Source organism: Homo sapiens, chromosome 9, assembly GCF_000001405.40.
Source record: "Homo sapiens chromosome 9, GRCh38.p14 Primary Assembly".
In the NCBI taxonomy this organism is placed as follows: Eukaryota; Metazoa; Chordata; class Mammalia; order Primates; family Hominidae; genus Homo; species Homo sapiens.
In genome coordinates this window covers 39,235,825-39,263,077 of record NC_000009.12, presented here as the reverse complement: position 1 = coordinate 39,263,077, position 27,253 = coordinate 39,235,825, and the positions used below count along the sequence as shown (strand labels likewise).

Below are 27,253 nucleotides of genomic sequence, written 5' to 3'. Positions count from 1 at the left end.
ATGCTGGTTGTCATATGAATATGCCTTTCTAAGATTAGGATAAAACTCTCTTCTTGGTGTTTTCTTTCAGTCCTATCTTGAGTTATTTTTAATCAAAATGCTAGGCTGAGGTCAACTGATTGTAATTTGTTTATAAGGAAAAAATGGAAGGTGACCTGAAGAATTTTCTCTCCTCCCTTTACCCAAAAGTATTTATTCTTATTTTGAAATGAGAAATTCCTTCAGAATTTCCCAAGATCAAAGAGGGCTATCTCACTGACAGCTAAGACCCTGTTGTCTTCATCTGTAACTTGGCTAGTCTTATCCAAAAGAGGCCTCTTCTGGGTTGGAATTGCATTTAGTTTTAAATAAACAATTATGCAGAAAGTGCTTCTTCCATCTTATTAAAATTTCAGAGTTAGAAGAAAAGGCATCTGAAGTTTCCAAGTAGAACTATAACAGACCTAGTGTTTTTTAGTATCCCCATAAGTAAGCATTCTAGCATAAGGGAGGGTTTGCTGGTTGCTCATTGAATGTTGTCTTGGCCACTCACAGACCAACACATGATGAGTGTGAGATAAACTCTTTGGTCTAAAGAGAGAAAACATAAGAGTCTGCAGCTGTAACATGTCTGCTGACCCAAGCTGGAATGCTTTAGTGTATTGTGTCACCTAGTGAGTTTTAGGATTTCCCTCCCCACTTATGAGTTTTCCACCTCAGGTTAAAGGAATGTGGGATATTAAGGAGAATTATTAAGAGAGAAAGGGCAAGCATTTGGAAATGCAAAACCTAGACAAGGTGGAGATGATTTACTGGAGTCAGAGAGGAATTAATAGCGTATTAATATCAACATCATTATGGCCCACATGCATCTATCATGCTCTCTAGTATTGTGTCCAAGGTCCATAGATGGTCACTGTCTTATTATATCCCTGATCATACTAGCTTCACCAGACTTTCAGGTCACCCAGGGGCTACATCTCTTAGACAGCAGAATATTAAGATAATGGAAAACAATAATAAGTTATGACAGTGTGTGAAAAACATGAAAAAGATTTTATATTCTCTCATGATAGATGTGATTCAAGATGCTACTGCAATAAATTAAACAATACATATGCTTTTTTGCAAGGATAACCCCATGTGTTTTCATGGTCTAACGAAGTTAGACAGCATTGTTATTTGTGGCTTGACACCTCTGCAATTGCTCCTTTTTAAAGTCGCAAAATGAATGTACAATAACTAACCATGCGTTAGACCGAAGGAGAGTTTGAGAATTTTTTCAAGGGGCCTTCACTAATGAAGCAAGCTGTCTCATTTGGGGATCTGTAAGCAGCAAAGATAAACATTGCCTAAGACATTTCTGTTGAAATGGCGTAAAACACATGGATTACTTACTTCTTCAGGGATTTTAAATACTTGGAAACAATGCAGTGAACACAGATATTACTGTGAAGAACATTTCAGCAAATGAGTTTACAAAATGGATGAAACCGAAGAAGCGTCTTATGTTTATAGCTTCTCACCTGAAGAGATTAACTATATGGGTGGACCTCATCAACGTTTGAAACTTTCTTTCCAAGAGGTTTTTCCTGTAGAATTTTAGGACTTTCTGGGAAGATGCATGACAGATGCATGCCATTGTTGATGGTGTGGGTCACTGTGGAAACTGCCCTAATGAGGCCATTATGCTGCCTATTTGTGATATTTGGTTATGAGTTGATGACAATATTGTAGAGAAAATAGACACTCAAGCTGCTGAAAAATTTTACAGGTTGTCATCAATTATCACTTAGAACTTTTTTCTCAATTTTCTGAGTGAATGAGGATTGTGTTTAAAAAGATACTTTCTGCCTCATTTCTTCTCCAGTTATTTTGAAAAAGCTCAGGTACTGATTTCTTAGGAAAAGAGGAAAGCAGGGAAACTAGAGGCGGGAATTTGTGCTGCACACAACCTAGCCACGAATCTGGGTGCACCAGCCCTTCGGATCTGGGCAGGTAAGCATTTGCCCAGGTATCAGGCTGCCTGTGTGGCTCCACAGAACAAAGATGGGGAAGCAGAGGCATCAGCTTCTCTTATAGCACAGCACACAGCCTTCCAGGAGTGGATACACACTTTCTTTCTATTATTAGCCCAAATAATTATCTCAACTCAATAGAAAAAATAGCAATCTGTGCCTGATTGTCCTGAAAATGTTTCATTAATTTACTTGTATTCAGTGAATATAAAACCATAGTTGGTGGTTTTTCAGTAAGTACAGAAAACATATTTGGTGGGTTGTTTTCCATGCAGAGTGTAAATATTGTAGGGCCAAAGTCTTAGTTATCTGTTTTTTTTGCTGTTGGGTTTTTTTTTTTTTTTTTTTTTTTTTTTTGGAGACAGAGTCTCGCTCTGTCACCCAGGCTGGAGTGCAGTGGCGCGATCTCTGCTCACTGCAAGCGCCACCTCCCAGGTTCACGCCATTCTCCTGCCTCAGCCTCCCAAGAAGCTGGGACTACAGGCACCCACCACCACGCCTGGCTAACTTTTTTTTTTTTTGTATTTTTAGTAGAGACGGGGTTTCACCATGTTAGCCAGGATGGTCTCAATCTCCTGATCTCGTGATCCACCTTTCTCGGCCTCCCAGAGTGCTGGGATTACAGGCATGAGCCACCACGCCCAGCCTAGTTATCTTTTTGATGGAATAAAACTACAGAGGATAGATTCCAGTGTCAGTAAGACAAAGAGTTTCTGCTTCTCTGAGGAAGTAAGTTTGCTATGTAGACACACACACAGAGAAAATGGTCAAAAGTTGCTTTTATAAACTCCAATAATCAATTTTTTTACATTAACACCTTACTCCATGAAGATCACAGTATATGAATACAAAATAATATGTATGAATGTTGATTTGTGGAAAAAAATCTTAGAGTTATCACTCCCTCCTTTTTCCAAATTCTGTGTATTGTCTGTTGAAACAGTTCATGCTTATGATTCTAATACATCATTTCCATGGATCTCCCCCTCAGCTTAGTCTCTTCATGTCTCACTTGGATTATTTTGAAAGTCCCATGATCGAACTTCAACTTTTGAAGCTTTCCCTAATTAAATAAATGCTTAGCAAAGTCCTCAGTTAATGTTCTTTAAAGTGCTATTCTCTTCTTGTTCCATGCTCAGTTGATGAATCTCAGACACTAACCCCATAGAGCAGTTCTCAAATTCACAAGCCACCTAATGCCCACTGCCATACGTAAGAAGGTGGTCTAGTAAATTTTGGAGTAAAGGCAATATATATTTCACAAAATCAAAATGTAAGATCAATTACAATTCAGCTAATATTTAATTAGGATATAAGGCATCTCAGTGAATGCATTTTTAGTTTCTGAAGTATGTAATTTTTTTTTTAGATTTGTACTTAGCTATTCTTACTAAATTTCGGAAAGTTCCTGCTTTATGGACATGAATCAGTGACTCTAAATGGTTCTTTGAGGTATAAAAACAAAGATAGTAACAAATACAAATTTCACAATCTGAACTAGAAAACATTACTAGTGACCACAACTCAAATACTAATATAAAAAGCATCTTTATTAACCTGGGGTAAAAGCTTCTCTGCGTGGGGCAATTTTACCCAGGCAACTGAACAGGCGGTGCGGGATGAATGTTTGAAAATTGGAACTAACTTGGACGCACTCATCCCCATTTTCCATGCCTGCTGTGCACTCCTGCCAGATGGGAACATGATGTCATATTTTCAGTCAGTTTTCAAACAAAATGGGGATAATCTAATATTTTCTGGAATAACCATAGAATAATGTTTTCCAATGTGAACTTGGTGAATTTTATGAATGAAAGAGAAGCAGATATTGGATCCACACAGCCATCATTGAAGGTGGTACACCTAACATCAAAAACTTCTGTGCAGGACCGGGCACGGTGGTTCACGCCTGTAATCCCAGCACTTTGGGAGGCTGAGGCGGTTGGATCACCTTGAGCCCAGGAGTTGGAGACCAGCCTGGGCAACATCAAAACCCTGTCTCTATTAAAAAAAGAAAAAAAGTTTCATGCCGCTGTTACGGACTAGGAATGTCTAAAATCCATCACAAAGTTAGTATTTTGCTTGGAGGGGCAAGTAGAATGAGCTTTTGGAAAGTTTCTTTAACAATTCTTTGATCTAGTAATTCCTGAAAACCTTTGAGGCTGGTGAAAATACTTTTTCATGTAGGGATGAATCATTCTGTGAGTCCTGGCGTAAGTCAGCCAGAAACTCATGATGGGAGCTTTTGATGAGGGGATATGAGGTTTAAAAATGGAAATCAAAACTTTCTTCACGACACTGATAATTCCTATAAAGGCCATTTCTGTGTGGGATGACATGTACAATTAACATAAATGACCCTGCTTCCAAGCTCACTGAATTTTTTCGCCAGTGCCCTCAGACCTCCGTCTTTGCTCCTAACTCAGATTGTCTTGAGTCTTCTGTAGAGAGAAAAGGGGATCATTGCAGAGACTGTGAACCAAGGCATTAATCTTCACTTCTGAAGTCCAAAAGCATCTTTTGGTCTGAGGTAGAAAAAGTTTGAAAGGGAATTGAGCAGGCTAAAGGTGTTTTAATTTTTCTGCTATCTCGCAGACTAGGAACCCTCAGCAGGACTGCATGATAGGATGCATAGAGAGGTGGGGACTGCCCTGAAGCTCTGCTCTCAAGCAGAGCCTTGCCGGTGGTGGCTTAATGGAAGTCTTCACTGAAGCTCAGGGATCTGAGTGGGCACTCTCATGTGTGTAGTGGAAAGGAGGACGCCAGTCTCCAAGAGCAGCCTGCACGGCATCCTCGTTGTGCTGCGGCACATTCAGTGACAGGACTGGACGCCCTGCTGCAGCTCTGGTGGCCGGTGAGGACAGCCCCAGTTATCCAAGGACACCCTGAGGTACCAAAGGCAGGTGAGCAAGACCATGTTCCTGCCTGAGGTCTGGCAGAGGGAGGAGAAAGGGTCACCAAAACGTTGTGGAGAGCACTGTCCCAGCCTGGGATGGGAGGACTTGGCTCCATCGGCAGCAGGTCGCCATCCCTGAGGACAGTGCAGTGCTGACCTCTACTTGGGGCTTGAACACACTCCCCTCCCCGCTTTACCAAGGCAATTAGCAAAGCCAGAAGAGACCAGAGTTAACTCTGGGGATGAAGGGGAAGTAAAAGAACCCCTGAAGGAATTTTCAAGGGTCTGCGACCAATACAGACACGAACTGACAGGCTTATCCCTTAACTGGACAGAGACACCTGCTGTGACTACTTCCAGTCTGTGTATCAGCCAGAATTCCAGCTCCTACTAGAAAGCTTTCTGGGTTATGGAGAAATGAAGTTACATTTTCCCTCATGAGTTTGTGATTTAAAAATTTATACCTGCAGAATGATTCTGACGGATTTGCTCAAGTGGCTTTTGTCAGGGTTATAGTCCGTATCTTCTCTAGCCTCAAATTAATGTGATGTTGTTGAGGATGACTTAAAATTTTCTTTGAAAGTCTGAAACATGATGCAGAATGCTTGCACCAAAAGAGTTTTACATTTTCCCCACGCTTGTACTTACTAGAGCCAAGTACATCAAAGGTGTGGATTAAAACCCGTGATGCAGGGAACTCTGACACTTGTGATAACATGGATGAACCTGGAGGACATTATGTTAAGTGAAATAAACCAGGCACAGAGAGACAAATACCATATAGTCTCACTTACATGTGGAATTTAAAGACAGTGCTCACAGGAGTAGAGAGTAGCATGGTGGTTACCAGAGGCTAGAGGAGAGGGTGGATAGGGAAGGGGGAGATGTTGGTCAGTAGGTACATAGTTTTGGGTAGATAGGAATAATAATTTCTGTTGTTCTTTTGCACAGCATAGTGAATGTAGTTAATAAGTGTTGTCTGTTTTGAAATATATGAGAGGATTTTAACTATTCTCACCGCTAAAAGAATGATACATATTTGAGGTGACTGATATGCTGATTAGCCTGATTCGATCATTTTACAGTGTATGCATGTATCCAAACATCACATTGCACCTCTTAAAAATGTACAATTATTATTCATCAATTAAAAATAAAATTTAAACATGGGAGTTAGCAAACTTCTGCTGTAAAGAGACAGATGGAAAATGATTTTGGTATTGTGGACCATGTAAGGTCTCTGTTACATTTCTTTTTTTTCTTTTTTCTTTCTCTGTCTTCCTTCCCTCCCTCCCTCCCTTCCTTCTCCTCCTCCTTCCTTCCTTCCTTGCTTTTTTCCTTTCCTCTTTTTTTCTTTTCCCCTCTTCTCTCTTTCTCTTTCTCTTTTTGAAACACAGTCTTGCTCTGTTGCCCAGGTTTGGAGTACAGTGGCAAGATCACAGCTTAGTGTAGCCTCAACCTCTGTGGGCTCAGGTGATCCTCCCACCTCAGCCTCCCGAGTAGCTGGGACCACAGTCACATGTCATAACACCCAGCGAACATTTATATTTTTTGTAAAGATGGGATCTCATTATGTTGCTCAGGCTGGTCTTGAATTCCTGGGCTCAAGCAGTCCAGCCACCTCAGCATCCCAAAATGTTGGGATTACGGGCCTGAGCCACCATACCCAGCCCCCGCCCTCTTTTTTTTTTTTTTTTAAACGCAACGCTTTACAAATGTAAAACCATTCTTAGTTCTCTGGCTGTGTAAAGCAGGTCATAATCTAGATTTTGGCTGCCAGATCTAATCTAGATTTTTACTAAGCCTGCATGCTAAATATGTCTGGCACTTTCCCTTAAAAAGCTCTCAGCATTTATCACATGCCAGTGTGCTTACTAGGTATTTGTATACTTTTCTTACGGTTTGTGCAATTCTAACTTCCTTGAAGGAAGTGTGCTATCTTATCCTTAGTGATTAGGGATAAGCTTGGAATCATCCAGGCTCTACCCCTTACTAGCTGCGTGACTTTGGACAAATTCCTTTATCTCCCTGAGTTTTTGTTTCCTCAGTTATAAAATGGGATTAGTAAAGTACCTATCATGAAATAGTTAACTTGAGTAAAATAGGTTGTGAAGATTAAATGAATTAATACACATAAAATAATTAGGTTATGTTACGCCAATGTTCAGAGCAGATGTATCCGCAAGAGCCAAAAGAGAAACAACCCAAATTTCCATTGATGGACAAACGGAGAAGCCTAGTGCAGTGTAGGAAGAAAATTCTGGCCCGTACTGTAACACAGATGAACTTTCAAGACATTATGCTAAGGAAAATAAGCTAGACACAAAAGGACAACTACTACGTTACTCATTTATATGAGGTACCTAGAGTAGTCAAATTCATAGAGACAAGAAATAGAATAGTTGTTGCCAGGGGCTGGTAATGGAGGTTATTGTTAGTGGGTTCAGCGTTTTCATTTGGGAAGGTGAAAGAGCTCTAGAGATGGATGGTAGTGATGGTTGCACAACGTGAATGTACTTAATGCTACTGAACTTTACATATAAAACAGTTCAAATGGTAAATTTCATGTGATGTGTATTACCATAATTAAAAAATTAGTATATGATCTGATCCAAAGTAGCTAAAATCTACTGAGTGCTGCTGAAGCAAAAATTATAATTAGTAGATTTTTTTTATTTGTTTTGTTTTGTTTTGGTTTTTGAGATGGAGCCTCACCCTGTCACCCAGGCTGGAGTGCAGTGACATGATCTCAGCTGACTGCAACCTCCGCTTCCTGGGTTCAAGTGATTCTCCTGCCTCAGCCTTCTGAGTAACTGGGATTACAGGTGCGCGCCACCACGCCTGGCTAATTTTTTGTATTTTTAGTAGAGTCGAGGTTTCACCATGTTGGCCAGGCTCAACTCCTGACCTCATGATCCGCCTCGGCCTCCCAAAGTGCTGGGATTACAGGCCTGAGCCACCGCGCCCGGCAATTAGTAGTATCAACAGTGGGAGTAAAAGTGGCAGTTAAGCACATTGTTTCACAACATCTAGCTCAGAGCCATGACAAAGCAAACATTAAATAATATGTATAGGTGGAATTAAACTTAAGCTTCTGTAGTAGAATAATTAAGAATAAAACATGAAATAATGCCAGGTAATGTCAGTTGTTACCAAAGAAATGTCCAAACTCTGAAAGAGCTTGTTAAATTAGGTTATGGCAGCCCACGGTGCAGGGGAGGGGACCGTCAGGTGATGTTTAAGTAGTTTACATGGACTGAATCCCCTATGGTTCCATTTAAATTGGCCACCGCACTGCCAGGCATATGACATTGGCAACTTAAACTCGACAGAGAAACCTCTAAGAATAAGATTAATGCATTTCTCATTCTCTGTGTCACAATTATTCAATTTAAAAAAACAGGAAAATATCAAAAATCTTTTTATGAAATGGCTGTACCAGTTTTACCTTCTATAGTATAAATGCAATATGGCTTTTGGTGCGTTTAAATTAATTTTATAAGGAGTCGCAATCAGCTGATGAGTAGTTTTAGAATTGTTCCCATAATTGTCAACCTGGAGAGCTCTTCACTATTTTATTCATACTTCACTGAAAACTAAAGTTCAATTTTATGCCTAATTTTATACATAACGTGTTGTAAAACATCACCATTTGGGTGATGTGTGTATATGTGTATTTTCCTTCCAATAGGATATATATGTGTATTTTCTATTTTATAACTAGCTGACACAGGACCATTCTCATAATCCCATTTGATTTTTGTATTTGTCAGTAGATATAACAATCTCCCTTTGGTTCAGATTGAAAAAACGGAAAATGATGCTGATAATTCTTTGTATACCATTATTTTAGCTTTAAGCTATTTTAAGTGTGGTCCAGTACAAAAGCTGCTTAAGTCAGATACCCCAGTCTCTATGATGTGATTATTATGTATTACATGCCTGTATCAAAATATCTCATGTACCCTATAAATACATACAACTACTACATACCCACAAAAATTAAAAATTAAAAAGGAAAATAAACCAGAAAAAAGTCAGATTTTTAAAAAATTTTACATTTCATTATATTTAGAAAACTTAGCTTTATGGGGTTTTAGAGAACATGGTTTTTCTTCCATGTACCTTCCTATTTATTTTTTATGATGCTCAAAGTTGCTAAGTTTCCACATATTTTAGTAAGAATTAGCAATGCCCTGAATTCCATAGCTTTCATAAAGAATTACCTGTGTACCATCTCATCACCACCTCTTTCCTATTACAGGAAAGCAATAAGAAGATATTCTTTAGTTAATTTAGATTGCTTGCCAAAATAGTTTTAAACTGATTTGTAATTTTTCCTAAAACAGAATGAGGAATTGTATAAAGTATTAATATATATGAAATTGTCACACTACGTTTCAGATGCTTAGGAAATGTAGAGAAATTATTGTAAAATACATTTTAGAAAAGATATTGCAACAAGACGAGGACAGAAGTCTGTGAAGTGTTGTGAGGAGGGCCCAGGGAAGCAGGAGGAAGGTGGGGAGACCACAGGATGACCTGGAGCCAAAGAAGAAGGGCCCAGGTCCCAGGGTCTCTACAGCACTGCCGGCCTTCCAGCCACAGTTTTTCTCAATCTTCCTGTCATATCCCTCAAGGAAGTAAGTGGACATTGTAAAGAGCGAGTAATTATAGCACAGCAAAAATCAAAAGTCATGATTCTGGAAAGCATTATCAGTAAAAAATGGAGAAATAGTTGACATCTCTTCATGTTTCCTCTGGAAATTTCTGATTATGTATGTATACTCTTCCACTCTAATATCCAAACAACTCTCTTACTTCTTTATGCAAAGAAACATGAAAGAATGAAAAGGTTCATCACAAGTGTATGATTAATTTTGTATATATAATTTTGCAAATTAATAGATTTTAATGTGTTCAATAAATGTACATAAATACACAACACATATGTATATATCTGTGTGTGTGTATGTACTGTGTACTAAATATATACTATATGTGTGTGTGTGTGTGTATATATATATATATATATATATTTAGAGAGAGTCAGTGTGTACTTAATAGTCAAATCCAAATTTCAAGAACTTTATATTTTATATAATGGCACCAGTTTTCCTGAAGCTGAATGTATGTGTGTGTGTGTGTGTGTGTGTGTGTGTGTGTGTGTATATTCAGTTGCAGGAATATATACATATATACGGTCAGTGTGAGTGTGTGTATATATATATATACACACACACACATATGTCAGTACATACATGGTCAGTGTGTGTGCATATAAGCACACATATATGTCAGTACATATACACATATACATATATGTTAGTATATACTGACTGTATACTGACTATATATAGTCATAGTCATATATACTGACTATAGTCATAGTCATATACTGACTATATGTGTCAGTATATACATACATATATATTTCAGTATATATATGTATGTATACTGACATATAGGTATAGTCAGATTGTGTATATTCAGCTGCAGGAAAATTGGTGCCATTATATAAAATATGAAATTCTTGAAATTTGGATTTGACTATTAAACCTGACTTTGTTGTCATTAAGTTTACATTGATATTTCCTGGAATTGCACATTGCTAAATTTTTCTGCAAAACCAAGATTTCTAAAATATGATGGGGCATTTGATACAAGAAAAGGCAAATAAAGAAAAAGTAGAGCTCCATTTGTCATTCTTCTTAAGTGTCTCCTTAAGAAAACTATGTGATCCAAAGTTATTTAGACAAAAGCTTAAGAAATAAAACACTTAGTAACTCATGCTAGTACTTGATTATTCTTTTGCTTATCAAGTTTTCTTCTTTTTATGATTATTATACCTTTAATTGCGAACATTCATTGGATTGGCTCAGTAGCATTTTATGTGAGACAACTTTCCATTTTAATAAGTACATATTCTCCTTCGTTAATGTGAAATAGAAGTGCAGGAGTAGGGATGAAATGGATAATTTTGCTAGAAGCAAATTGAAACTGGCTAGGCAAAAGCGTATATGTATTTTGCCCTCTTTTTCTGTTTTTAGAAAGTGCTTGCGTTAACTCTCATTCTCAGCCAGAAGCGTTAATGATTCAAACGGGCTTTATATATTGAAAACCATGAACTCTCACGTGCAGAGTACAATCAGGGAGCAAGCCCGTGGGTTTGAATGGAAATTAACGTTGGTGTATGGGAATGAATTTCGCAGACAAGGATAATTTAGAAACCTGTGTGCTAAACTGCAAACACAGAGCAAATGGAAACATACTGGATCTTTTCCCTCCACTCCTCGAATTTCTCCACTATTCAGATGTCCTTCCATGTGATCATGCTTTCTTGGCACACTGACTAGGTTCAGTGATTAAGAGGCAGAGAAAATAATTACTGAATATTTTTAATACAAAATGAATAGCTCAGGATATTTGTAAGGGCTTTTCAATATCAAGATATTTATTTCCCACATTAGAAAGTATAACTCCTAATGAAAACTTAGCACCATAGTTTAAAATCATATTAATAAATAAAAGCAAAATTCTTACATTGGGGAAATGACCCACAAATGGTTTGTTATAGTATGCGATCTTTAACTACTTGGAATTTCCACTATTCTGCACAGTGCAATATCCCAAAACAGAATAGGATGTGAGATTTCGTTGTTTTGTATGAGGAATCTAGAGGAAAGAAATTGATAAAAATGTATGCAATAATTTAAAAATATAAAGAGTATCAATCTCTGATAGAATAATGTAAATGTAGCAAATATTTAAGATAACTAATCTAATAAGAATTAAATTCCCCTACATTTTTCTTCTCCCCTCCCCTCCCCTCCCTTTTCCCCTTCTTTCCCCTTCTTTCTCCTTTCCCCCTTTCACCCTTTTTCCCTTTCCCTTTCCCTGAATAGCTGGGATTACCCTTGTCCCAAGTAGCTGAGATTACAAGCACCCACCACCAGGCCCGGCTGATTTTTATATCTTCTGGTACAAATGGGGTTTCACCACGTTTACCAGGCTGGTCTCCAACTCCTGGCCTCAGGGGATTCGCCCGCCTTGGCCTTCCAAAGTGCTGGGATTACAGGTGTGAGCCACCACGCCTGGTCCTCATTTTTCATAAAATCAAAATTCTTGCGTATTCCCCTCCTTAGCTTATAGGTCAGAAGCTACACTAAGCTTCCCAATGTGCCTAGGTGTTAGATGTGCCAATTTACATATACAACAAAGGACCTGAAAAGTAGAACATTAATACAACAGAAAATATTTTGCCTGAGGATATTGTTTACTAAATTTTTTATCTGTGCCTTTTAATAGTTCTTAGAACTAGTAAGTCCAATGGCATTCTATTTTTATGCTTTTTTTCCTCAGATTTGTAGCATATGACAATGTGAATATGTTACAAATGTTGAATGATTTAGCTGACTACAGGCCAAACAAAATAGCATCAAGTTATCTATAGCAAAATGTGTTTCGGTTGAAGAAATATGTAGATTTTAAAGAAATTAATCTTATTTACTTACGCAAAGAGTATGCTTCAGCAGCATATGTAACTTTAATTAAAATTCATCTAAAATAGGTTGTTAGTACTATGACAGGAAGTGGCATTCAAACAAACAAAATATTCATAAGGATGTTAATATAGATTAGACATGAGAACAAATATTTGGCTGGTCTGATTCTCTTGGGTCACTTTAAAAATTATTTTTAAAATTTTTGAAATCGAGGCATAACTTAAAATACAATTAAATGCATAAAGTGTGCCATTTGGTTAATATTTACAGATGTATATGCCTGTATTACCAGAGCCCAGATCAAGTTACAGATCATTTCATCACCCCCTTACCATTTGTTAATACTTTTTATTGATTATCTAGGCACCTCCTACCTATCACTGTTCTACTTTCTGTCATATTATTTAGGTTGGCTTGTGCTTTTGAACTTACAAAAAGTCATACAGTACCAAAATCATACAGAAGCTTTTGTATCCAGCTCCCTTTAGTGAGCATAAGGTTTCTGAGATCCATCCACGTTGTTGCGTGGATTTGTGGCACATTTCCTTCTATTGCTGAGTAGATTTCAATTGTGCTGTTTGTTTATCCATTCTTTTTAAAATGGACACTTGTGGCTTGTTTCCAGTATGGATCTATTATGAATAAATTTCTACAAACATTCTTTTACATCACTTTTGGGAGTGGAATTTCAGTATGTGAAACTCTAAAGAAACTGTCAAACTATTTTCAAAAGCCCTTGAACATGTTATACTCTCATTGGCAATGTGTGTCAATTCCAGTTGCTTCTTATCCTGGTCAACATTTGGTATTAAAATCATTAACCATTGGAGAAATATAAGTTAATATCATAGAGAGATAATATGTTCTCTAGGATGGCTAAAATTAAAGAATGACAACACCTGTGAGCTATATTACTCATGGCACCACAAACAACAACATGAGTTTCAGCATATTTGTATCTGTCTCCTTTGCCCCTGAGGCCCACAGGGGCAATGCAATAGGGCACGTATGAATATTACACTCATAGCAGACTTGTATTGCAGCTGAGAAATAATGAGCTTGGGGAATCTACTGCAGTTATAGCAAGTAGTAAGTGAGAAAGCTCTTTGTGTGGAAGAAAATGTAACCTCACCTCTCAAGGTTAACCAGCTGCATAAACAACCATGAAAAAAGGGTCCATAAAAGAGTTTTTAGGCCTTTGTAGTCTTAGCAGACCCAACAAAACATGTAGGAGTGCAAGCTGCTTAAAGTGGACTGTCTCTCCATACATTATTGTGTATGGATAACATGATCCTATATGGAGATCTTCTAAGAAATCTAGAAATCTAAAAGACACCAACTAATAAGTGAATTTTAGCAAGTTAACAGGATACAAGGTTAATATACAAAAATCAATTCTTTTTTATGTAGTAGTAACGATCTGATTATCAAATTAAGAAAAGAATTTCATTCACAATAGCATTAAAAAATAAAATACTTAAATGTAGATCTTACGAAAGGTGTGCAGGACCTGTTCATGGAACACTATAAAACATAGCTATTAGAAAATAAAGAAGACTCAAATAAATTGAGAGACACACTATGTTTATAGATTGGAAGAAACTGGAATTGTCCTAATTGTAATAATCCTAATTGTCATACTTTGTTGGTGGGAATGTAAATGGTGCCACCACCTTGGAGAATAGTTTGGCAGTTTCTTAAAAAGTAAAAGCATGTACTTACCATATAAACCAGCAATTCCACTCCAAAAAATATATGTCCACTCTAAGACTTAAATGTTCCTAGCGGCTGGGCACAGTGGCTCACACCTGTAATGCCGCCAGTTTGAGAGGGCGAGGTGGGTGGATTATTTGAGGTCAGGAGTTCGAGACCAGCCTGGCCAACATGGCGAAACCCCGTGTCCACTAAAAATACAAAAATTAGCTGGACGTGGTGGTGCACGCCAGGAATCCCAGCTACTCGGGTAGCTCAGGCAGGAGAATCGCTTGAACCTGGGAGGTGGAGGTTGCAGTGAGCTGAGATTGCATTGAATCTTGGCCTGGGCAACAGAGCGAGACTCTGCCTGTTGTAAAATGTAAAAAAAAATGTAAAAAAAAAAAAGTAAATGCAAAAATGTAAAAAATGTAAAAAAAAATTTATATATATATATATATATTCATAGCAACATTATTCATAGTAGATGATATGGTTTGGCTGTGTCCCCACTCAGATCTCATCTTGAATTGTAGCTCTCGTAATTCCTAGGTGTTGTGGGAGGGACCCAGTGGGAGATAACTGAATCATGGGGGCGGTTCCCCCATACTGTTCTCGTGGTTGAGAATCAATCTCACAAGGTCTGATGGTTTTATAAGGGGGAACCCCTTTTGCTTGATAGTCATTCTGTCTTGTTTGCTGCCACGTAAAATATGCTTTTCGCCTTCTGCCATGATTGTGAGGCCTCCTCAGCCACATGGAAATGTGAATCCATTAAACCTTTTTTCTTTATGAATTACCCAGTCTCAGATATGTCTTCATCAGCAGTGTGAAAATGGACTAATACAGTAGACAAAAACTGGAAACAACTCAAATGTCCATCAGCCACTGAATGGATAACCACAATGTGGCATATTCATTGAACTGGTTGCTATTTAGTAATAAAATTAAAGCTACCGATAGGCCATGATTTCTTTATGTACTTAATTGTTCCTTAATGTTACCAATTACTCTTAATGAAGAATGCCGTCCCACTCCTCTCTAGGATTTTCGCATCGCTCTCTTACAGTTTGCATTCTTCCTTCTAAAAATGTTGTCGTTTCACTTTTTTCCTGTTCAAAAAAATCCAGTGATAACATGTGACAGCTCAACTGTCATGCAGTTCTTGGCAAGAAAGGTGAGGTTGAATAGGAAACTTCCTATTTACCAGAGGCAACTGGAATCACTCAAGAATAAAGGGACACTGTATTCACCATCATATTGCCAGCTTCTGCTCCGGAGAGATGAAGTACATGTCTTTAATATATTCTTCCTGATAAGTACATTTTAAAAGGCACTTTATATATAAAATAAACATAAGAATGAAAAAATGTAGGGAAGACAGACCATCTAGGAACCTGAGGAATTGAGGAAATTGAGATAGAAAACAAATTAGTGGTTGCTATGTATAACTGTAAAGGGTACCAATGAGGAGGATTGTTGTGGTAGTGAAGTCGTTCTCTTTCTTGATTGTGGTGGGGGTTACGGACCCTAAACGTGTCATACAACTACATAGACACATCGTTTCCTGGTTTTGATATTGTACTGTAATTTTATAAGATGTAACCATTGGTAGAAACTAGGTGAAGAGTACACATCACTTCTCTGTACTATCTTTGCCAATTGATGTGAAGCTATATTTCAAAATAATTTTTTTCTTAAATAACATTTAATTTCTGACTGGCAGTTTAATTTGTGCTTCAAAACGGATTCAAAAGGACTATGACCAATGATGAAAATGGTAAATTACAACAGTTGGTCCTATAACCAACTCTCCTACATTAGTTATTAAAGTCAGTGTTAACGGAGGCATTCCAGAACTTCTGTAGGACATGGTGCAGATTCACCTATTTTCTTTCACATTAATTTTTGCCAACTGGATTTTTTTAGGTTGTCATATTTTTTCCAAAGAATTCAGTGGGACAAACTTTAGCAGAATTCTGATGCCCCACATTGTACCCGATGTGTGCTTGCCTCTAAAAAAATTTCTCTGTTAATAGCAACTTAAAATAAACATTATTGTAATGTTTAGAGGACATTCCTTTTGCATCATATTTTGATAGTGTCCTATTACATGCAATAACAAATGCATGTCTCTTTTCATACGAGGCTTTCACAGCAATTTCATAAACTATAATTAGTTTAACTACATAATATCCTTAGGAAAAATGTAAATATTACCATCTCTTTTTTTTTTAGGGGGTGGGCTAGGGGATTTTGGTTGACTGAGCAATCAATCACATACAGATGGATAATTTGGTATTCACTAAAATATTCACTTCTCAGCATTTCACTCTCGTGTTTCCTTGCATGATATCAATTGTCATTTAATAAGAAAGACAAATACACGTGTTTAATCACTCCCTGAAGAAGGTAAACACACTATCTGTGGGAAATGGAACACAATGAGAGGCGTGCAGTCAGCCTCAGGGTGCCCTGACTCCATTCCAGCCCTCTCCTCATATGCCCCGTTTGCACATCACCCATCACTTTTGCCTAATTGTTTCTACTCACCAAGTGAAGATAATGGCTTCTTTGCCTGCTCAAGTGATAATTTGAGATTATATGTCTCATCAGATAATTTATTGGATGTATGAAAAAATGCACAATGATGGTTTTATTGAATTATGCAGTTAGTTACCAAGATGAATGGAACTACACCTACCCAAAAATCAAGATGTGGTGGAGATAACGGAGGTTATAGGCTGAGTCATTTAACCTTTAGGGCTCTTTCTGATATTTTCTGTGAGGGCCAAGTAGAGTTCTCAGTGGAGTGCATGTGAGTTTCTGCCAATGGCCAGTGGAGCAAGTGCCTGCAAGAGGGAACACTCCCCCAACTTCTGGGGTGATAAAGGATTTCTCACTGTCCCACCAGCCTGCACAGTAGGTTTCACCATTTTGTTAACTATTCCAGCTGAACTTTTCTTACTGACCTCTGGTTTCATCTATGTAAGGTGAGATCCTGCTCACATCTCTCCCTGTGAGGTTCATATCTCTTTAGATTTTAGGCTAGGTGGTGGTTCTGCAAGCTCAACTCTCCAATGCATTTGTAAAAGATCATGAACTTGAAGTTGGTTGTAAGAGTGGAAATGAGGCTCCTTATAGCTTTCTACTTCCTGGGGCAGAAGCCAGAAGTTCCAGCCCATAGATTTTGATAAGTTGTATTTTCATTTTCATTCAGCTTGAAATACTTGCTAATTTCCCTTTTAGTTTCTTCTTTGATTCATTGATTATGAAGTATGTGTTATTAGTTTCCTAATATTCCTGGATTTTTCAGAGAAGTTGCTATTGTTGATTTCTTATTTTAATCTATTGTATATCACAAAGATATACTTTACATGACTTAAATGATTTTAACTTTGTTGAAACTTGTTTAATGACTCGTTTAATGGTCTATTTTGGTAAAAGTTCCAAATGAACTTGAAAAAGAATACATGTTCTTCTGTTAGGTGAAACATTCCATAAATATCAATGAATCATATAGGTTGATAGTGATAATTAATACTTCTGAATCCCTATTTTCTGTCTTCTTGTGCAATCAGTTACCGAGACGGGGTGCTAGAATCTCCTACTGTCATTGTGGATTTATCTATTTCATTCAGTTTTACTAGGTTTCATTTCATGTATTTTGAAGCTCTGTTATTAAGTGTTTGCATGTTTAGGATTATGTCCTATGATGAAAGAACATCTTAATCATTACGAAATAATTTTCTTTACCTTTTATAATAATTTTTGCACTGAAATCTACTTTAATATAGCCAATCCAGCTTTTTTAAAAACTATTATTGGCATAATATATATTTTTCCATGTGTTTACACTTAGGCTATTTGAGCCTTTTTTATTTAAAGTGTGTTTCTTGTAGGCAACATATAGTTGGATCTTGCTTTCTCATCTAATCTGACCATCATTGCCATTTAATAGGAGTGTTTGTACTACTTGCCTTTAATATGATTATATGATTAATTTTAAGTCTAACATCTACTATTTGTTTTTTGTTTATTCTTTGTCCATTTTCAAAGCTACTAGGGAGTGTAGATGCATTTTGTAAGAGAATACATTTTATAAATTGTTATATACACTCTGAGATTTTAACCATAATTGCAGTACTTTTTTTATGAACACATTTTTAGTAGGCTGAATATTCTTTCTGCTTCAACCTGCTAAGATTGAAGGAAATACTGCTGAAATAGAACATGTACACAAAGACAGATTCTGAGGGAGGGTTTCTGTATTTTTTACTTTAAAACAGCATAGTTGAAAAAGACTGTAGTACCTGATTCTATATCTGTGTAGTTAGCCCTTTTTTTTCTAAATGAAATTAGATCTCAGGTAAATGTTTAAATTACCCTCAGCAAAAAGGCAGACCTACTGACAAAAAGCATGGCTGTTTAAAGCCTATAAATCTCAGAAGTGGAATGAGGGAGTTGATTTAAAGCCAGCTTCACTCCTCTTCCCTATAAATTACATATAATCACACTGGAGTGTAGGAGCTGTGACAGTCCCTACCTCACATCTCACTTCCCACCTCCTGCTCACCCCAGGTAATACCTGAAATTTTTAATGTGAATTAAAATGCAATTAGATGAGGAAAGAAACAAATATATCTGGATAAAATCACATTTGAAACAATTTGTTATCTTAGTGGGAAGTGTCTCGTGGGGACAAGGTTGACTTAACTGTGTGTTTGCTTGGTATACAGAAGTCCCTAATAGTGGCTGGCTTTGAACATTTACTTTGTTTACTTATATTTTGTGCCTTCAACATCAAATTTAGTTAAGGAAGGTATAAGATTATGGTGATATGATGATAATTGTAATGATGATGATGATGATTTACCTGTGCATTATTTCCCCTGTAAACAAAGTCAATACATACTCTGTGACAGTGCTGTCACTTATGACTAGATACTATAGTCATGGGAAGTTTTATTGTTGTTAGTCAGAAATAATTAAGGCTCCAGCTGTAGGGTTTCTACTTTTCTTTCACAGAGCCCCCTGCCCCAGATAGTGAAATGTAACTTTGACCTGATGTAAGTGCAGAATTATAACAAACAGATATAACTGTACAAAATAGAGACATAATCATGCCAGATTATTCATAACCAAAAAGTACTAAGTGATTGACAAATCATGTGAATATATTCATGGACAGGGATAAAAATGAAACATAAGCTGATTTTAAAAATAATATCTTTCCATGTGTTTTAATTAGTGATTTTATTTTCTCATCTGTAAGGTAGATACGATAAAGACAACCCACTGAATGCTTTTAGAAATAAAAAATGATAATATGCTTGAAAATATCTGGTCGAATTCTCAGCATACAATATATGCTTCAGAGTTTCTCACTTCCCCCTTTTCCCTTGTTTTCCATTACAAAATAAGTGGCAAAACTTTAATAATTTCCTCAGAACTTGAAAACTTAAAAGTGGATAAAACGGTTCATAAGATAAATCCTATGTTGTGTGAACATTTAGGGACAAAACAGTTAGCGCAGCTCAGCATCTTCACTGTGGTACCAATATCAACCTTTATAAAAACGAATTACCCTTTAAAAAATAACATCTGCTGTCCCTCAAGCCATATAAAGTGTAAGAGAAAGTTTCAGTTGCTCAGCATATTTTAATCTCATTCCAGTAATGGAACATGTGTGTCAGAACATATATTATGAATGGAGGGGATGAGTTTTCATAATTCATAGGATCTGTGGGGTAGAATTGTGACACTTTATTTAACTCAGGTGCAATGTCTTGTCAGAGGCAGGGGGAGGAGGGTGAAGTGGAGAAGAAACATTTGTTATGGGGGAGAGGCTGAGCTTAGAGGACATAACTGCTTCCCCTGTTTTGTGTACAAAGTTTTGTTGACCATAGACTAGAAGGGACTATGAAAAGACACTTCCAGGTTGAAAAGTAGTCAGCACATGTATAATCTTGACTTAACAAATAGAAGACTTTCATTTGTTTTAATTTAAAGACAACAAAAATTGAGTATAACATCACATTTGAATAATAATTTAGTTACAAAGTGCTGTAGTTTCAGTTATCCCATTGTCTTCCTTACAGTCTTGTGACGTGATTTATATGACTGTTAATCCCCCCACTCCCAACTTTATGCTTTTCTTTTTTAAACAAAGGACAACATTTTTGTCTCAGAGAGGCTGAGTGACTGGACAATTACTACACTCTAGTTGGGGGTGGAGTCAGCCAACCTCCTTTCTCTTTCTGTTACCCATAGTGGCCTTCTATACCAACCATCAAAGCTGCCTTTAACAAAGGCACACAGACTAGTGCTATCCAGCAGTGCACAGGTCAGTCACGCTGTGTTTCCCACCATTTCCACTCAGCGTTTAATTAAATTGTGTGCACAGCAGCTTACCCTTAAAACGCATCTGGGATTGCAGATTTCCTGAGGCTACAACATCCTGATGAAATTCTTTGGTAATGCCAGAATTTCATTACTTTATCAGTAATGGCTGAAAATATAGCTTATTTGCATTTGAGTACTACTTCATCAAAGGTAAAATGAAGTCACTGAAATGTGTCATCTGTTACCAGGAGTGCAACCATGAACACCAACAAACTAACAAACTGTGAGGGATGCCGAGAAGAGGGATGGCCAGCGGCTCCCTCTTCATCTGATGAAAACACACCACCCCAGGGTAGCACACCAGAACCGTGCCAACTCATTTTCCTCCTTGTGCTTCTCCACATGTGTTCTCATAGTAATTACTTTTCTAAACCTGGAATGAGAGGGAGTGAAAACACCAAAGAAAGGTTATGAAATACAAGCTGAAGAGGATGCCCTTAACTAAGATGAGGGGAAGAACCAAAAATATTGAATAGTTCCTCAGAAGTTTCAGCTCTGTGTATAAAATTCCCAATGTACAACATCCAGCCTAAGATGATGGGTTGGCTGTTAGCATCTCCCTCACCTTCTCCCAACTCTTTTAAAACAGCCATAAAATAGGCTGGGCCCAGTGGCTCGTGCCTGTAATCCCAGCACTTTGGGAGGCCGAGATGGGCAAATCACTAGGTCAGGAGACCGAGACCATCCTGGCCAACATGGTGAAACCCCTCTCTACTAAAAATACAAAAATTAGCTGGGCGTGGTGGCACGTACCTGTAATCCCGGCTACTTGGGTGGCTGAGGCAGGAGAATTGCTTGAACCAGTTGGAGTTGGAGGTTGCAGTGAGCAGAGATCTCGCCACTGCACTCCAGGCTGGTGACAGAGTGAGACTCCATCTCAAAACAAACAAACAAAAAAAACAACAACAAAAAAAACCCCCATAAAATAGTAATAAGAAAAACAGAAAAGGATACACAGTTTCATTAGTGTTGTACCTAGGACTATTGGTTGCTAGTTAGACCAACCCCAAAAGGATCTCCCACCAATTAAAGTTTACATAGGCTTAGGAGAGAAGAGTAGATCTGGTGGAGTCAACAGGAAGGGCCAGTAGAGAAAACCCCATTGGCACTGCACCCTCAGCTTTCCGAAACCCAGACCTTGCCTGACCAGGAGTAGGAGAGGTTGCCCTGCTGTATGGGGGCTGCTGCCTTAGGTAGCCAGACCTGCTCACTCCCAAACGTCTTTACATCTTTGTTACATTTATTTGAGAAACACCACATCCCATGATTATCATCAAAATAATATAATAGAAATATTTAATTGCACAGGTTCTGGATCCAAAGCTCATGGGCCCCTTGCTAGATGCGTAAACATAGGTGAGCTGCCCACCATATATGGAGGGTAGTAATGAGGCCTTGTCTTTTAAAGGTATGTTAGGAATTAAATGCAAAATTTATTTAAAGGGAACTCTTTGCCTGACCTAGAGTTCTCAAATGCTCGATAAGTGTTCATTGTTAAATTGAGTGATTATGGAAGTGGGTAGGTGGAATTCTGTTACATCCTGAAAAGTTAAGTTGGAAGGAGGAATGAGCAGAGAGAAGAAACTGTGGAAGTAGTTCCTACTGAGGGCTAAAGAAATCTGTGCACTGTCTCTGGCAGGGGCTCACATAAATATTGCTGTAAATCATCCAAGAATAAATATTGCCCGATCTAGGAAACCATGTTGCATGAGTGGAGGATGCCCCTGGTCTGTAGCAGAACATTTAACTTTGAACAAGAGCTGTGTCCACCTCCTAGCTGTCTGGATTAAGAAAATAAATGGAGTATTTTAGTGTCAATCAGATGCACAGTGTTGGTTACCAATAATTTTCCATCTTGTCTACTAGATCAAATTCCTGACTCTTCAATTCAAAACATGGAACAATAAAAAGCAAAACAAACAAAAATTATATATATGTCTGTGTACATACTATATATATAATATAAACTTTAGAGGTGCTTATTGTACATTCAGAGGAAAAATATTTTTGAACAAAGATTCACTACAAAAATATCTTAGAATCTGACTTCTAAGAATCTGTAAACTTGGGAATCATAAGGAAACAGTAGTTAAGTGTGGTCATCAATTCAAATAGGTGCCTAATATTTATATTTATTATTTAAGTATGAATTGTTATTATTTAAATATAAATATTTATATTTCTCAACACTTCCCCATAATAACTTATATTAAAGTATAATGTCCTCACTTATTCGTTTTTACACCTAGCTATATTCTAATAATATCAAACTTTTTTGGACATGTAGTGAAGTACTAAAGACTTTACAAATGAGGACATAATGATAAACCCCTAATAATAAAATACACAGTATAAGTCAATGAATAATAATGAACTGTCTAGAACTTCAGACTTTCTATCAGAGCCTTCAGGTAAGTGGCAGCACCAGGGAATAATAAAAGTGTTCTGACTCCTCGGCTTGGGAATTGTTTATAGAGTACTCTCTTTTTCTAGACATTGATTATTAAAGAAGCTGTGGTTTTCGAGTGTCCCCTAATTCTATTAGACTAGAAAAATAACAAACATCAATAAAACATCAGCGGACATGCCTATGTTTTTGTTTCAGATTTGGCATTGGTCAGAGCAAAAAGCAAATTTTCTGCTCTGCACGCATCTTCTTCAATACCCGACAGTCTCCTTTTCCTTGTCCAAGGTGGATGAGCACTGTGTGAGACTTGCCCCAGTTTCCCTGCAGTACTGCCAGAGAGAGCAGAGTGCACCAGAACCTGCTTAGGACTCACCTTGACCATTTGCTACTCCATACCTTTTTGTATTTTTTTACCAATATCTCCTCCACACCCCAGTTCCTCGTAACCATCACTCTCCTCTGTACTTCTGTGAATTCAGCTTTTTAAAATTCCACATGTAAGTGGGATTGCCTCACAAAGCACTCTATGTTTTAACTCTTCTTTTACATCCATTTCTCCTATGAGACTGTAAGCACTTTGAGTGCAAGGTCAATATATTAACCGTCTTTGTTTTATCAGTGCTTAATGCTGTACTTCCTACTACTGGAATTTAGTCTCTTAGGTTGGCAAAGGGCAAATCTTGCACAAGGGCTATGAAATAACACTAGTTCCAAAAGTTGACAGGAATGCTCTAGTGGCCACCTGCATTAAACAAACATTTTCTGCAGTCAGTAGGACACCTGCCTTCTAGAATGTCAGGGGTCATCTAGCTAAATGTGAACACAATTTAGGGTTCATCCAGTCACATGTAATTCTTCTATTTTTTCTATTGTAAATCGATGATTTTCTTAATATATATTCATAATTTTATAGTTTTCTAATCTAGTAACAGCTATGTTTAAATAACTTCCTCCTCTACCATTTTTATACTTTTTCTGTTTCAATAAAGGAGCTGGTGGCTGGACTCCACTTGTGTCAAATAAATACCAATGGCTGCAAATTGACCTTGGAGAGAGAATGGAGGTCACTGCTGTCGCCACCCAAGGAGGATATGGGAGCTCTGACTGGGTGACCAGCTACCTCCTGATGTTCAGTGATGGTGGGAGAAACTGGAAGCAGTATCGCCGAGAAGAAAGCATCTGGGTATGTTTCTAATAATAATAATTGCTACCTATTGCTGCAAACCTATTAGAAAAACAGAATTTTAAGAATTACTTAGAAAAAAATGTTCTAAGTGAAAGTAAGATACCTATTTCATTGAAAGCATTGAAAGACAATCTTATATTATACCATTAAATAGTGTGGAAGTTAAAAAATAATACAAATCATATATAATTTATTTTTTCTTGGTTTGCTTAATAAAGTAATTTAACATTGCCTCTGCATTATTTTAGAGTGGTAGATTGAATTCATTTATTTTCTCTGATTTGATCTGATGTTTTTGAAAGACACTGAAATTTCAAAATGTAATAAATGAGCAGTTTCTGTGTGTATGACAAGTACAGGAACACAGACTTTGAACTTGAAGAATTGTGTGTCCTTTATTAAGCAGCCAGATTTAGTTTTTCTTGTTTTTTTTTTTTTTGTTTTTTGTTTTTTTTTTATTTTAAGAGACAGAGTTTCGCTGTTATCACCCAGGCTAGAGTGCAGTGGCACAATCTTGGCTCACTGCAGCCTCTGCCTCCCAGGTTCAAGCAATTCTTCTGCGTCAGCCTCCTTAGTAGCTGGGACTACAGGCGTGTGCCACCACACTTGGCTAATTTTTTTTTTTTTTTTTTTTTTTTTGTATTTTTAGTAGAGACAGGGTTTTGCCATTTTGGCCAGGCTGGTCTCGAACTCCTCACCTCAGGTCATCCACCCATCTTGGCCTCCCAAAGTGCTGGGATTACAGGAGTGAGCCACCGCGCCTGGCCAGATTTAGTTTTTCATAGACTACAGATCTCTGTGACATTCTCTGAATCTGTAAATATCCTCATAACAGTGACATTATTTCTGTTTCTGATTATATGTCAGTGCCTCTTTGCCAGGGTAATCACTTTTTGTTTGACTTTTGCAGCTACTTGGGAGGCTGAGGTAGGAGAATCACTTGAACCCGGGAGGCAGAGATTGCAGTGAGCGGAGATCGCACCATTGCACTCCAGCCTGGGCAAAAAAGAGAGAAACTCTGTCTCAATAATAATAATAATAATAATAATAATAAGTATTTATTACATAGTGTTTGAAAGTAACCTGTATCTGTTTAAAATCTTGCTCTGCATTGATTAATAATGTTTAAAATGTTGTGGACAGTTTCCCTATAAAAGAGATGCTGTAAGAGAAGACTCATATAGAGTCTGCATCGTATTTGTAATTTGGCTCTTTCTTCCTCCTAAAAAAAAATACATCAATGACAGAGGTACCGTCAGCATTTTTGTTATCAAGTTAAGCAGTTCAGAGGGAAACCATAGCCAAGGCAATGCCATTTGCCAATTTTGCTTACTCTGAAAGGTTACTAGCCTGCGGGGAAAGAGCGTAAAGGTTAAGGTTCTTACTAATCCAGAACACTTAAAATGACAGATGTCAACTCTCATGATCTTACCTCGTGTAGGAACGTGTTGAGCTTCACTGGAACAAGTGATTTACTTTCCTGGTGCCCGCTCACAGTGTGAGCTTCCTTTCAAAGTCACTGTGCCTGCCTTTCATCCCTGCATCTCTATTCTGGGTTGACTTGTGGTTTCCCAAAAACATATGTTGGAATCCTAACTCCCAGTACCTCAGAATGTGACCTTAATTGGATATAAGGTTTTTACAGAGGTAATCAAGTTAAAGTGTAGTCAGGAGGGTTGACCCTAATCTAATATGACTGGTGTCCTCATCAAGAAGGACCTTTGGACCCAGAGACAGTTATACACACAGGGAACACAGTGCAAGGACACATAGGGAAGCAGCCCTGTGAGGAGGGAGGATTGGGATAATGCATGGACAAGCCACAGAACACCGGAGGCACCAGCAGCTAGGAGATGGGCATGGAACAGATCCCTCCCTAGAGCCTCCGGAGGCAGCATGGCCGGCAGACACCTTGATCTTGGACGTATGGCCTCCATCACTTTAGCTACCTAGTTTGTGGCACTTTGTTACAGCAGTTCTGGAAAACTAACTCAGCCTCTAAAGCCTAACTGTGCCTAACAGGACTAGGACATGAGGAAATGTTTCCTGAATGAATGAGGGAAATTCATCCTCTCCCAGGATGCCTTTTTTGAACAACCACAATGAAAATGGTCCTTCCTGGCTCTGCAGATCTCTAGGACTTGTTTTGGACTAAAACAATGAAATGTAGTGCTATGAGGGTTCAGGACTCAGCCTTCCATCGTTTTGAGCTAAAAGGTTTTTGGGGATAGGGCTTTATCTTTGCATCTCCTTCATCCTCCATCACTGTGACTGGCAAATTGTAACCATTTAATAGCTTCATTTCCTACTCTATGACCAACTATACAGAATTTGCATGGTGAAAAAAATGTTAATGCTACTGAAGAGAGAACCCACAAAACAAACCAGAGATGGTTCTTGTGAGTGTTCAGTTATAAGACACAGACCCGAAGAGACTTGAGAATGGCAGGCCTTGGAGAAAGCGTTACCTCATGGGTTGTTGGAAAACAATTCAGGAGGATATTTCAGAAAGCAAAAGTAATGCAAACAAAACCATGGATAATGGATGAGATACACAAAAAACAGTGAGCTGTAAGATGTGAAATGGCTGTTCAGACTGAGATGGAGAGAATATGGGGAATTTGCTGAAAGTTGTAAAATTGCAAAGAGAGAGGCTGTCAAGTTTGGATTATAAAATACCTATGTAGATATTTGAGTTTCTTTTTTTTAAAAAAACTTTTACTTTTTGTGAGTGCATAGCAGGTGTACACATTTATGGGATTCATGAGATACTTTGATACAGGCATGCAGTGCATAATAATCACATCATATAAAATGGGATATCCATCCCAAGTATTTATCCTTTGTGTTACAGACAATCCAATTATACACTTTTAGTTACTTTAAAATGTACAATTAAATTATTATTGACTATAGTCACCTTGTTGTGCTATCAAATCCTAGGTCTTATTCATTCTTACTATTTTTTTGTGCCCAATAACTATCCCCATCTCCTCCCCAGCCCCCCACGCCCCTTCCCTGCCACTGGTAACCATCATGATTCGTGTTTCTTGAACTGCTACATCAACATCTCAGGGACATATTCTCCATTTGTTTATTCATTAATCCATTCTTTTAGTAAATAAGCAAATAATTATGGTAGAGGTTAGTAATATACTCTTGGGA

At 37.7% G+C, this 27,253-nt stretch overlaps 1 protein-coding gene and 1 pseudogene across 2 annotated transcripts in view; both read left to right on the top strand.

Annotated features, from left to right (window-relative positions):
• The window catches only part of CNTNAP3 (contactin associated protein family member 3), a 223,458-nt gene that overhangs the window by 25,090 nt on the left and 171,115 nt on the right, over positions 1–27,253 (top strand). For both annotated transcript variants that reach the window (NM_001393379.1, NM_033655.5), the window contains exon 3: positions 23,892–24,085. In NM_001393379.1, the coding sequence (NP_001380308.1) occupies positions 23,892–24,085 (194 nt within the window). The remainder of the gene's footprint in view (positions 1–23,891; positions 24,086–27,253) is intronic.
• On the top strand, positions 1,236–1,778 carry LOC100420437 (ubiquitin specific peptidase 12 pseudogene; annotated as a pseudogene).